This window comes from Homo sapiens, chromosome 14, assembly GCF_000001405.40.
Source record: "Homo sapiens chromosome 14, GRCh38.p14 Primary Assembly".
Lineage (NCBI taxonomy): Eukaryota > Metazoa > Chordata > Mammalia > Primates > Hominidae > Homo > Homo sapiens.
The window spans coordinates 99,179,443-99,193,014 of NC_000014.9; the positions used below are offsets into that span (position 1 = coordinate 99,179,443).

General features: G+C 50.5%; 1 protein-coding gene across 6 annotated transcripts in view, besides 1 other annotated feature; it reads right to left on the minus strand.

Moving 5' to 3' along the window:
• The window catches only part of BCL11B (BCL11 transcription factor B), a 102,911-nt gene that overhangs the window by 10,156 nt on the left and 79,183 nt on the right, over window positions 1-13,572 (minus strand). The gene's annotated exons all lie outside the window — the stretch shown is intronic.
• Window positions 12,488-13,049: an enhancer, noted in NCBI's record as "H3K27ac-H3K4me1 hESC enhancer chr14:99658267-99658828 (GRCh37/hg19 assembly coordinates)". NCBI's record gives its function as "activates a minimal SCP1, AML or CMV promoter by ChIP-STARR-seq in primed H9 embryonic stem cells {active_cell/tissue: H9 hESC(primed)}" and the evidence as "EXISTENCE:reporter gene assay evidence [ECO:0000049][PMID:30033119]".

Genomic DNA, 13,572 nt, shown 5'->3' on the forward strand with positions numbered 1-13,572 from the left:
CAGCCTGGGCGACAGAATGAGAATCCATCTTAAAAAAAAAAAAAAAAAAAAAAAAAAGCTTCTAAAACTAACTTGGAGCAACATAGGGAGGGCATTACCTGTCCATAATTCACCATCAGGTGAGAAGAGCGATGTTTATTCATCAGGCTGGATTTCAGGGCCACCCGTCCTGCCTGGAAAGCTCTTACTGGACCCGTGTCCGGGAACCGCTTTGGTTCCAATACTTCCCTCTGCACAATGGCAAGATTTCACTTCAGGCGATGGCCTCCAGTGCAGGATCTGAAGCCTTCCGATATCCTAAAAATCACCCAGCCCTCAGAGGCCCGCCCTAGACAACTTTCTTTCCAGTCCCCACTCCCTTCTTTTTTTAATAAAACATTCATTTCCTTATTATCACTCCATGGTTATCTCTTGCCCGGAAGTAGCCCTGAGCATGAGGCTTGCTCACTTTCAGAAATGGAACAATGTCAGAAAGTCTTTGAAGAGCCACTCAGAACATTTTTCTATTTGAAAACTCGCTAAATATTTTAAACACATGGCACGCAGTCTCAGACGGCTCATTTTTAAGTGCAGCAAAAGACCCCTGGTGAGCAGGCTGCTTCTGACTGGGGGCTGGCCCACTCCCCTTCCCGGGACCAGATGTTTCCTGGCTGTCACCCCCCTCCAGGAACTGAGGGCCACCTGCCCACAGGTGAGCTGGAGGCTGCACTGTGGAGAGGGGTGACAACTTTATGCTAGCGGCCCAGACAGGCTGCTGAGATTCCCACTGATAGGTCAAGGCCTAGACTATTTAGAAGCGATTTACCCAGCAACATCAAACCTGGCCTACAGACCTAGAAACGTCAGCTACACTTTGCTCACTAAGTCACGCTTGGCAACTCAGACCCAGGGCCTCGTCTTCCCTTGCTTCTTTCCATCCTTCTTCCTTTCTCAGACATTTTTTGTATCCACTGACAGAAACCCACACTGGATCTTCTTTGCTCCACTGGCTCTAGACAGAGCCCCAGGACATCTTTCTCAAATGCAATACCCTGGGTCATGAGAACCCTGGACAACAGCAGTGCGTCCATACCCCTCTGCCTTGGTGTTCCCAGAAGGAGGAATTCAGTCAATTCATTTAACCTCTCTGAGGCTTGACTTCCTCATCAGTAGAATGGGAATAATATACCTGGCTCCAGAGAGGCCTGGGGAGACCAAATGAGCTCCTGTATGTGGGCACAGCCTATAAATCGCACATGGCTATGCAGGCGTTACGATGGGGTTTGCACGTTTTGTTTTTTTATTATCCATCCTTGTACCTGGTCATGGATGTTTCAGTGATGACTTTCAGTATAACTCCAGCAATAATGAAACCCTGGAGGACATTTAATGCAGCCTGCCTCATGCATTAGAGGTTCTAGGGAAGCAGAAACTTGCAAACATTGAGGAAACATCGTTTTTTATTATGATGCTTGGGAACCGACGTGCAGCTGGACTCCTGCAATGAAATGTGACTCTCCCTCTGCCATTAGGCTTTTTTATGAGCATTTAAATAATTGTTCCTCCTTATTAAGCTGGCTACTCTAATAATACCAATAAAGGTATCAGAGATGTTCAATAAAAAACACACCTTTAATTGAAATTATTATCCAATGAAAAGGCCATAATTGATAGGGGTCCTCCTAAGGCCAAGTGATACCAAAGGGAAGGGCATTCCTGCCTGGGTGAGATTTAGTGGCCCACTGCTGTTCGAGAAGGAGCAGCAAGGAGACACCCTCTCGACTCAAGCAGGGCCCGGGGTGATATCCTGAGGTTGGGGGGCTAAAGTAAGAACTGGATTCTGGCTTTACAGGCCCCTCTACAGGTTGCAAAACATTTTACACTAGGCGTGGCATTTCCCATGCATTCACTCACACCATCTTTGCTCACTGTGGCCTCAAGGGGGGCCAGGGGAAAACTGCATCCCAGCTGGCACGTGAGCAAACTGACGCTCAGAGAAGCAAAGCGGCACGGCCAGAAAGGGGCAGGCCACGCTCCTCCTCAGGCTTCCCAACCCCTGAGCAGGGCTCCAGCCCCGCCTCGGCACACAGCACCACCTGAGGCATTTATCGTCAGGGCCTGTTTCACAATGCAAATGGCCACGAAGGAGGTTCTCCCACCACACTGTGAGTGTCCTCCCAGTGGAAGGCACTGATGATGTTTGGTTGGAACCCGGTCAGGTCCACCACAGGCCTTGACCCTGGAGAGGAGAAGGGGAGACGTTTCACAGAGCGAGCAAGCGAGCCTGCGGGGTATGACACGTCACTGGGGACCTCGTGAGGTAGACACCGAAGTGGCCAAATCCAGGGATGGGAAACCAGATCCCAGGGCCCCCTGTGGCAGCTCCCTTCCCCACTCTGGACTTCAGGGTACCCAGTACCCAAGGAGATGGCTGGTTTCACCGGCCAACCACTCAGTCCGCCTCCAGAATCCGTCTGCTAAAGATGCCGTCTCCACAGTTCCAAAATGATCGTAATTATCAGTGTTATCCCTCAGATGTGTAGATTCCTTATTCATTTAAAAACTATCCTCTTTCATGACGTCAGAAAGGAGATGTCCATTGGGCACCGCAGGGATCTATTTAAGTTTCGTGTCTATATCATTCTGGGCACAGCCATCTGCAGAATTGATAACCATCCCTGCCTGTTCCAAATGTATTCCGTGAAACCTCAGCTCTCTCCAAGACAAAGGCGGAACTGGGGAAATAACACTCACAGTGGTAACAAGAAAGCTTTATGAAATCCTTACCACCTGCCAGGCATGAGCTAAGCACACCAAGGACCTCACATGCTGCTCCAACAACCCCTGCAGTACCCACCGTCATGATGACCATTTTACAGATGAAGAAACTGAGGACGGGAAGAGATAGGGGATCCGCCTGGGGCTGCACAGCTGCCCACGGTAAAGCCTGTGCTCTTGTTATGCTGTTCTGATAAACGCTGGGTCAGAAGAGCAGCAGACACACTCCGGGCAGGGATGGGGCTAGCTACCTGGGCCTCAGTATTTTACCTTTCATTTCAGCCCACGTACTAACAAAAATGTCAAGATGTGTTGCTTTTGGCTAGAATTGCAGTAACTCCATGAAATCATGCTGATTATCTCATGGCAAAAATAATAGATGCCATTTAGAAGAGAAAAACCTTTCAAAGCAAGTGGCCCACTGAGGGGTGTAAGTGCTGATGGTAATAGCAGTGGTACTATGACCAATAAGACATGGTCTCCTCTGGTGGTAATGTGCTGAGCCAGCCTCTGGCTAAGAAAGCCACTGCCCCCACACCAAGGCCTGCGGTAGACATTGCCAGTTCATCCCCGCACTCTCCCTCCAGGCCTTGGACTCCTCTTTAACCCCAGGCTCCAGGCAGTCATTGCCAAATAAAGCATGCCTGCACCTCTTTGCCATTCCTGGATCTCAGTAGATGTAAATCCAGTAAATGTGGGATCAAAATAGATTGGGCTGAATGAGCGTGGTAGCACTGTGTGTTCTGCTGAGAACTTTGTCTACATCTGACTTTCATTAATTCACTGAACAAACAGGATCTGGGCCCCCTTCATCTGCTAGGTACTATGCTGGTAGCTAAGGGTGCAGCTCACACTCCAGGGGGGAGACAGGGAACCCCCAGTAACCACTCCATTATTTAATGCAAATTATGAGTGACGCTAGGAGGAGTTCAGGGTGCTGGGAGAGAGAAGAATTCAAGGGTTTGACTCACCTTGGGGGTTCAGAACCCACATGATGCCAGACCCACCCACATCACCTCGTTTAGACCCCACCTAACTCTACACGCAGTGACCATTGACCGAAGAAATAAGGGAAGCCCAGAGAACTTGGATAAGTTGCTCAAGAAGAAATTAGTGACCTTAGCTTATTTATTTAAAATTCATCTTCCAGACTCCAAGCTCCTTGAGGACAGGGACTGCGCTGGTCTTGTGGACTGCTTGGACACCAGCCTGCAACATGGTGACTCACGCAAAGTTGCACTTCAGGACTGCCAGCGGCCGAGACATCCGACAGACCAGGAGTCTTCTCAGCCTCCTGCCAGCACGAGCCATGTTCCTTCCAGACCCACTTCAAAGCCCAGACACTTCGGCCAAGTTGCTGGACACCACAGGGCTTCAGGGTCCTCATCCACACAGGGAAAACAATACCTGCCTTCCTGGGTCGTTCGCTGTAGGATGAGGGCTCGTCGTGGTAAAATACCCCAAATAGGGACCCACATACAGTAGGCACTGGGTACACGGGAGGTGACAGAGACTGGAACTTGGGACTTTCTCTGCGTTTTCTCATGGTCAGCGTTCCTGAAGTCCCACCAAGACAAGGACTAGACCTGGGAGGACACCGCAACTCCACAGTCCACATGCCGCCCTCCACACCGGGCCCCCTCCAGAGAGCAGGGCTCCACTCAGCACTCTCAACAAAAGGCCTCTCTTCCTCAGCAGAGAACACACCCAGCACTGCCCCCACCCCGAAGCCGGCTGCATCCCAACCACCAAAGCATGCCAGAATCCCAGGGGACTACACACAGAACCAAGACAGTATGCCACCACCTCTGCTACCACCCACCCCAGAACCAGGGACAGATCTTCCCAAATCACAGAGCTGGTGGGGCCTCCCTGATACCCAGGACGATGTATCAGGCACCCCAGCCTTTGGGATCCGGTCCCACTTGCTGCCTGCCTTTTGCACACACCCATGAGCTGCCCACTCGCCCTCTCGGTGCCTCCCTTTGGGCAGCGCATTTTCACACCTCCATGCCCTTGCTGGTGCCATTCCTGCTTCTTGGAATACCTGCCGTTTATTCTCTCCCCATAAAATATCTTTTCAGATCCAGCCCAAGTCTAATCCCCTCAGCATTCCACAGCATTGTATTTAGATCTGCTTCATACTGATCACCATACTGAACTGTCATCTTTTGTCTTTGACCTTGGTGTGTTCAGCATGGCTACAGCCTGCACGTGCCAATGTTGGCCTTTTGCTGTCAGGTGGATGCTCACAGCCACTTTGGAAAGTGGGTTTTAACCCAGGTTCTCTAGAGAAAAGAAACTAAGTCTCATCACAGCTGAGTGAGGGGCCCCAGGTCACAGGGCTGGTAAGTGGCAGAGTCAAGATGCACACCCGGGTCCGTCTGACCCCAGAGCGTGTGCTGGGGTCCAGACTCACAACTGGCTGCCCCTCACACAGGGATGGCAGACCCTGTGGTGACCATCCCTGGGAAGGAGCCTGAGCCAGCCCTGTCTAATCATTCCGCCTGCACCTGGGATTGCCAGCAAGCCAGCCCGGGAGGCCAAGCTGAAGGCCTTCGAGGGCAGGAAATGGCCCAGAAGAAAGAGGCTGCACACAGCGAGAAAACCTCGCTCACCCCATAGTGTTGGGTGACCGTCCACTTACCCTCATGGGACCCCTGCAGCAGAGGTGAGCTGTGCGGCTTCATCTGCCTGGACTTAATTCAGGCTTTGAGAAAAACCTTAGGAAGCTGGGCCTACACCCCTCAAACAAAGAGCCCCAGCATTCCCCTTGACAGCCAGATTTTCACAAAAACGCCAGTGAGTCTTGGTTTCCTCCCTCAGGGTCATAGGTGGGGGTCAGGGAGTGGGAGTGGGTTAAACTGTAGACACAGAGAATTGTCAGACAAAGCAGAAACCTCAAGTGACTTTTGAGTACCTGGGGAGGAGGCAGGCAGCAAAACTACATGATGAGGACGGGCGCGGTGGCTCACGCCTGGAATCCCAGCACTTTAGTAGGCCAAGGTGGGCGGATCACCTGAGGTCAGGAGTTGGAGACCAGCCTGGCCAACATGGTGAAACCCCATCTCTACTAAAAATACAAAAATTAGCTGGGCATGGTGGCACGCACCTATAATCCCAGCTACTCAGGAGGCTGAGGCAGGAGAATTGCTTGAACCCAGGAGGCGGAGGTTGCGGTGAGCTGAGATCACACCACTGCACTCCAGCCTGGGTGACAAAGTGAGACTCTGCCTTAAAAAAAAAGAAAAAAAAAAAAAAAACTATATGACCAGTAATGTTCAAGCCAGACACAGAGAACCGGAGGTGCCCAGGCCAAGGAGGGAAAGGTCCGCAAGGTAGGGAGCTGTGTGAGCACACTCAAGGTGCAGGGCGCTGGGCCACGCGACGCAGAAAGCAGCTCTGTTTGCTATAGAATGAGGCAGGTCGGGGGAAATGGGAAATGCAACCGGAGAGGCAAATATATACCCAAGAGCATTCCACAAAAGGGGTCTCCATCCAGTGCAGGCCTGGCTCATTCCACAGGGCTGTCCTTACTCCCGCACACTCGCCCTCCTGACCCAGGGTAAGTGTTAGGTGTGCAGAAGACACCCTGCTCCCGAGGTGCTTTCCTGGGGAAGCCCTGGAAGAGTATCAGGATGACCCAAGACCTCACCGCATCTGGCAACCCAGAAATGGTATCGTTACAGCAAGAAATGAGAGCACGGCTTCACCGTCAACTTCTCAACAACATTTATTCACTTGTTCCTTCCTCCCTTCCTTCACAGATGCACGATGTGTCTACTCTGTGCCAGGCCCTATGCCAAGAGGAGGGACACACAAAGAAATGAAGGTCTGTCCTCATGGAGCATAAAGTCTAGAGCAAGAGGCCAATGACTCCAGGAACATCTAGGCAGGGTTCAGGCCACTCAGTCACTAGTGAAGGGTGTGCCAAGCAGTGTGGAACCCAGAGGAGGGAGAGGCTGACATCCTCGGGGGACCAGGAAAGATTCTCCAAGGAAGAGACCCTGGTGTTCATTCAGAATGGAAAATAAGAGTGCATCATGCACAGTGGCTCACGCCTGTAATCCCAGCACTTTGGGAGGCCAAGGCATGCACATCACCTGAGGTCAGGAGTTCAAGACCAGCCTGGCCAACATGGTGAAACCTCGTCTCTACTAAAAATACAAAAATTAGCCAGCATGGTGGCAGGTGCCTGTAGTCCCAGCTACTTGGGAGGCTGAGGGAGGAGAATTGCTTGAACCTTGGAGGCGGAGGTTGCAGTGAGCCGAGGTCGCACCACTGCACTCCAGCCTGGGTGATGGAACAAGACTCCGTCTCAAAAAAAAGTGCATCATGCAGAGAAGGGAGGGAAAGCGCATGCCTGGCAGAGGTACTGCATGCCTAAAGGCGGAGGTGGGACTCCAGACTCAAAGAAAGGAAGAACTGAAGGCAAAATTGAAAAGGGAGAGGTTCAGAAAACACGCAAGAAACTTAGCTGGATATAGAGCAAATTCCATTGCTGTAAATCCCATCATAGTGAAAACTTTCCTATTTCGTCCATGAAAAATTTCAAGCCCACACTCAAGGCCTACTCAAGTCAAGAACTGTTCAGTATTAAGGAAAATCTCAATATAACAAAAGGATGCATGTGAACCCTTCAGAGGACCACCTTCCCAAGCTGCTTTCCATAAGGTATAAAGGAATGAAACTTAAAATCCAGTCTATGAAGATCACTAGCAAGGAAGGTGGCTTCTAGGTTACCCTCTCCGGCAGGAGTTAAACGATTCCAGCAAGCCTCACATCTGAATACCCTAGGCCTGTGAATCCACCTTCAGAAACAAGACAGTCCAGGCTGTCGGTGGAACAGGGAAGTATTAAAACTGAACTATGGCTGCATGCACCCGAGATTTCCCAAAACAGTCTGTGTTTCAACCGTTCAATTCTTTGGTTAGCCCAGGTGTGCAGTTTCAGGCTCAGGAAACAGCCACCCAACCCCAAAATAAAGCAACATTGCCAGCCGCAGGGGTATCATGGCACAGGGTGAAAACAGTGGTGTTTGTCAGTAAGATGGAAGAGCCGGGGCAGGACGCACAGAGCAATTTTCCATGTGGCAAGTCATCTGCAGCATTTGTGAAAAGCTACAGCACATTCCTAGAGGTTGTCTTTAGAGGTCCCGCCTTCGGATAAGGCACAGAAATCCACTGGAAATAATAAAGAATGCGTTGTCAGAGTCCCTTGAAATCTGCTTTCTGTGAACTTCCCTGAAAAGGGCCTACGCTGTTCCAGTGGGTTTTGGTGGGCCGATAGCTGAGCTCACTTTGATGGTGACGTTCCCCCACGCCGCCCAACATGAGAGTTTTCTGAAAGGATTCTAGAACTCTGGGGACAGGAATTTTGCAGAGAATGTGAAAGAGAAGCACAGAGCAAACCATCCTTATCATTTAATGGACAAATAAAGAGGGAGTTAGGAGATAAACAGGCAAAAAAAAAAAAAAGGCCAGGAGTCGGCTGCAGGTGTGTGAGCGGGGATCAGTGTGTAGCTGTTTCTCACTCACACGTGGGATCTCAGTCTCCCCAGAAGCACCCCATGCAGGCCTTCCTCCTCCTCCTCCTGGAGACAGGAAGTCTCCCCTCTCCATAATTCAAGACTTCCTTCACCAGGCAAGCCTCCATCTTTCCTTTCTTTAAATCCACAAAAAATCTCGACATTCCACCCCAAGAAGTATGGCAGAGCAGTAAATCTCATTTTAATGGAGTGTACGTTTAGCTCCAAGGAGATAATTGACGTTATGGAGAGCCTCGATACCGAGTTATATAGGTTAGCTAATGCAGAGGGGACTCATTACTGACACACTACAAACAAGTAGTAATATATGTATATTGTTCTGAGTGGCGTTAGAGCAAAAGTGTTCCGGTCTGCGGGGATTGATAAAGCACAAGAAAACAGCAGATATGCACTTGTAAATTTGTCTCATTTGTCTCTGAAGTTAAAGGTTATTCCCTTGTTCTGAATTTGTAATAAAAACATGCTAGCCCAGGGTTTGTGGAGAATGTTTGAATATTTAAATTGTGTATAATGATAGGCAATTATAGGGTAAAAAACTGGACCTTATGAATGGGGGGAACACTGTTTGGATCACCAAGTGTTTTCTTTTATCTTTAATGCATTTTGCAAGTAATTTCCCCCCAGTGGGGTTCAGAGACCATTACCCAGTCCCACAACCACTAACCAGTAACTAACCAAGCTTGGGTTTGCCCGGGTGGATAGGCTCTTTTCCTTCTTTTTTCTTTTCCTTTCTTTTGTTAGTTTTGTTTCCTTCGATATGCAGAATACATCTCTCCAACCAATGGCTGGCCTGGGGCTGGGGCTGGGGCTGGGGCTGGGGCTGGGGCTGGGGCTGGGGCTAGGGCTGAGGCTGAAACCGTGGCCTCTGTCCCCAGCAGGTCAGTTCGTCTTTCTGGGGAAGGACAAGGCTGGCCATAGGGAGAGGTCTGAGGGGCAGGGTGTGAATTTCCTCTGCCCCCCACAGTGGGCTCCCTTCTCCCCAACCCTCTCCCGGGAGGAGGGCCAGGGGCTGGTGGGGAGCCCCAGCTGTACCACCGGCTTGGGGCGGGGGGTGGCGCTGCGGCTCCCGCGGCTGGAGCCCAGGTGCCCGCCTGGCCGAGTCTGCTGTCGGCCCAGGTTAACCAACTGCAGTGCTAGAGTAACTCCAGCCAGCTTGTCACCGAGCACAAAAGTCATCAGCCAGTGAATGTTCTTTTCTGCACCACAATTAAGACGAATCAATACGACGTGCCACAAATGGTATTTTACTCTCAATAAGAACTCGAGCTGAGTTTATTCAGAATATTTTAGCGCTTCCCCGGGGGATTTTGGGCCGACGCAGATGGCAAATAAAGTACTCAGCCTAAGGCTACAGCACATTATGGTAATTCTAATGTCAGATGTACTTTAATATACAGCTCTATTTAATCACCCCATTATTTCACATTTCCATATGAAAAACCTGCGGCACTTCTGCGGCGCTTTGCCTCTGCCACCGTGCCAAGCTTCCTCCAGCCGCTGCTGGCTGCCGGGACGTGGTCATCTCGCCAGGCACAGCCTGACACCACCGAAGTTTCCGGGTGCCCGGATGCACAGCCGAGCTGCCTGGTGCCGCTAGAACATCAGAGGACTCTAAGATGCACCGAACGCCACCATGGGCGGTTATGGAAGAGAAAAGCTGCACGCACACTACATGCACACACACATGCAAGTTCACAATAAAATGCAGGGGGATGTGTGTCCACGTGGGCACACACGCACACCCACACACACAGTGTGCAGGAGAGAAACTAATGTCGACAAGGAGTTACACCCACGCTCCTAACACGGCCCTCTCCAGACACCAACACCCCAGCATGGCGGCTACTGGGTCAGCAGCTGGATCCAATCACAACGCTGGCTCCAGCCTGCGGCCCCAGCAGCTGTGCCCATTGGTTCTCCCAGGACTGCCCCCCACCCCATGAGGGCAGGATAAAGGCATCATCCACACCAAGGGGCAGAAGGAGGCCAGGCTGATGACAAAGCCAGAGGGGAGTGCACGAGGTAGAGCGGGGGATGAGAAGGGCTGGGAAACTGCTGCCCACACTGTGTGGGAGCACCTGGAGCAAGAAGGCCCCCAAGATGACCCTTATCGGGGACTATGGGCACTAGGGAATTGAAGCCTAGAGGTCCAGGCCCAGGGGAGGTGGAGTTCTGTGAATTCCAAGTGGCAGGAGCACCTCAAGGCTGGCTGGGCTGGCCCGCAGAAGCAGGGGTGTGGGCCGAGCCCAGGAAATCACTCTCAAGGCACTCCAAGAAGCCCAGCACAGCACCTGCTGACAATCCAATTCTAGATTTCCCAAAGACAGGTTTTGCTGATGGATGCAATGACACCTGGCACCCGACCCTACTGGGTGTCCCAATAATGAGCCAACACTTAAAGCCACATAACATGATTCACAGAAACAGTTACAGCATATGTCTTTAAAACAAGGCACTTGGGCCAGGCGCGGTGGCTCACGCCTGTAATCCCAGCACTTTGGGAGGCCAAAGCGGGCAGATCACGAGGTCAGGAGATCAAGACCATCTTGGCTAATACAGTGAAACCCCGTCTCTACTAAAAATACAAAAAAACTAGCCAGGCGTGGTGGCATGCGCCTGTAGTCCCAGCTACCTGGGGGTTGAGGCAGGAGAATCGCTTGAACCCGGGAAGTGGAGGTTGCAGTGAGCCGAGATGGCACCATTGCACTCCAGCCTGGGCGACAGAGCGAGACTTCGTCTCAAATAGAAATAAATAAATACTAATTTTTTTAAAAAGGCACTTGTCTGTGCCTTTGTTTTGTTTTGTTTTTTTAGTGAAGTCCCATTCCTAACAATGGGGAAAAAAATCTCTAAGGGAAGGAGGGAAGAGGAAGGAAGGAAAGGAGGGAGGAAGGGCAGTAAAACTGAGAAAGTTCCAACACACACTGCCAAAACCACTGGCAAATTTCTCAAAAGCATCCATTCACCAATAAGGCTATCAGTAAGCTAATTCTAGAAAGAAGAATTGTTCTAAAGCTCGGCATGGCAAATATTTCAGAGAAAAACTGCTCGACTGTTTGAAGGTACAGATGTCTGACCTACCTGGCCATTCCAACTCCTACAGGTGCGACTGTGACAGACAGCTCACCACCTCCACTCCCACCGCCCGCTTCGGCCACACGGGGGGGGTCACCCTCAAATTAGGGTCATCCTGTTACTTCTTTTTAAAATATGCTTTGGGGGTAAAATCTAACAATGGGAATTCAGTCCCAATTTTCAAGGAAGGCCTTTGATTCCACTCTTTTATTATTGGTTATTCTTGAACCTCAAAATAGATACTAATATTCCCCCAGGCCTTTTCCAGGTTGTTGTCAGTTAGAAAAAAACAGCCTAGGACAGTGGTTCTCAACTGAGGGTTGTTTTGCCCCTCCAGGAAACCTGCGGCAATATTTGGAGATATTTGTGATTGTCAAGACTGAAGGGGCTTGGGCTTTGGGGTGCTACTGGCATCTAGTGGGGAGAGGCCAGGGATGCCACTGCACATCTACGATGCACAGGACATCTCCCCAACAAAGGATGAGCCAGTCCACATAGCAACTGTCCCAAAAGTGGGCAGCCCTGGGCCACACCCGTCAACTTAAACACTGGCTTCCTTGTGGGGACCGCACCTAAATCTAAAAAAAAAAAAATAGACTGAAAGAGAAAGTGGGGAGTCAGGAAGAGAGTGGGAAAGGGAGAAAGAGGTGGAGAGAATTGAAAAGACAGAGAGAAGAGGAGGGGCCCACACCATCTACTTCTCTGGCAATAAAGAAACTGTGGAATCCCAGTCAATTTCATCATTGTAGAAATCATTTGAATTCCAGAGTTGCCTGGAGCTGAGAATCTGGGGCTCCTAGGGAGCTCCGAGCCTCGTGAAGGGGGAAGGCAGCCTGAAATGGCAGAGGGGGCAGGGGGACTGCATTTGTCAGCACCCCCCTGCCCGCAGCCCTCCACCAAAAAAAAAAAAATGCTCCGAGTGACTTCCCTCCAGAGCTGGGCTTGGCCACTAAGGCAGGGATGTCAGGGGCTGCCCTAGATTTGGTGGCTCAGCTGTGAGCCCTGCAACAGCGGCTGCAGGAGATGAAAAACAAATATATACTTCCTGAAGTCAAAGAGATAAAAATACAATTTCTGCTGCGTATGCCACTCTTTCACGCAGCATCAACACTTATGTGGGGTGACGGGGGGAGGAGGATGACCACGCAAGCTTAAGTGATTTTTTTAAAAAACACGATCCAGAGAGATTACATAAAAAGTACAATTAAGGGACGCTCAGAATCCCGAGGCCTTCAAGAACGTGCTAGCTCCGGAATATTTTTAGAACAATCACTGGAGTGATTCTTCTTAGTTGTAGAAACACTCCAAATCAGAAAGTCAATTTTTCCTCTATTTGCAGCAGTGCTGGCTCCACTGGACGGAATGCGTGTGTTTTGCTTGGCGGCTGTTCATAATACTGTCTTGGCAGCGTTTCCTTGGAGCGCACACGGTGAACCTGGCTCTCGCATACAGTAGCACTTTCATTTTAAGCGCCCCAGCCACGCTTCCCTAATAACAGCCTGGGAACTGCAAAACCCCTGTAAGCCCAGCCCTTTAAATGGGGAACAGAGCAGGGCTTTCGGGGCCCCGCTCGCCACAATAGGGACTGTAAACTGGGGCTGGTGCTTTCAATCAAGAAACGTGGCTCTCGTTAGAAGGCAGAAAATAAAACAATGCCGGCACGTTCTGGAGACCACAGCGCGCTACCTTTCACCTCGTCCTCGCCACACACACCCAGGCCCAGCCCCGCTGCCTCCTCTACCCTCCTGCTGTCCTGCCAGGTACCAGGTGTACCAGACCGGCTGAAGTTTGGATGGGAAGGGACATGGCAACTTGGGAACCACACTGGGGCTGGGGCTGTGGGCCAGAAAGATCTGATTCTCCTGCTTCCTAGCCTTGGCTGAACATGAATGAGTGAGCTCAACTCTGAGCTCCAAGTTCCTTATCCATAAATGCGAGTGACACCTGTATTGAGGATGTGGAAAGATTCCAGAGCGTGCATGGAAGAGTCCTGCCTCTGGTCAGTGCTCAATAGAGAATGCTATTTAATGATCAAAATGTAAATGAGTGAATGAATGAATGAATGAATGAATGAGTGAATGAATGGATAAAAGAGTGAATGAATGAATGAGTAAATTAGTGAATAAGTGAATAAGTGAATGAATGAATGAGTGAATAAGTGAGTGCAAGACAGCAGGATGGGGCTAAGAGGG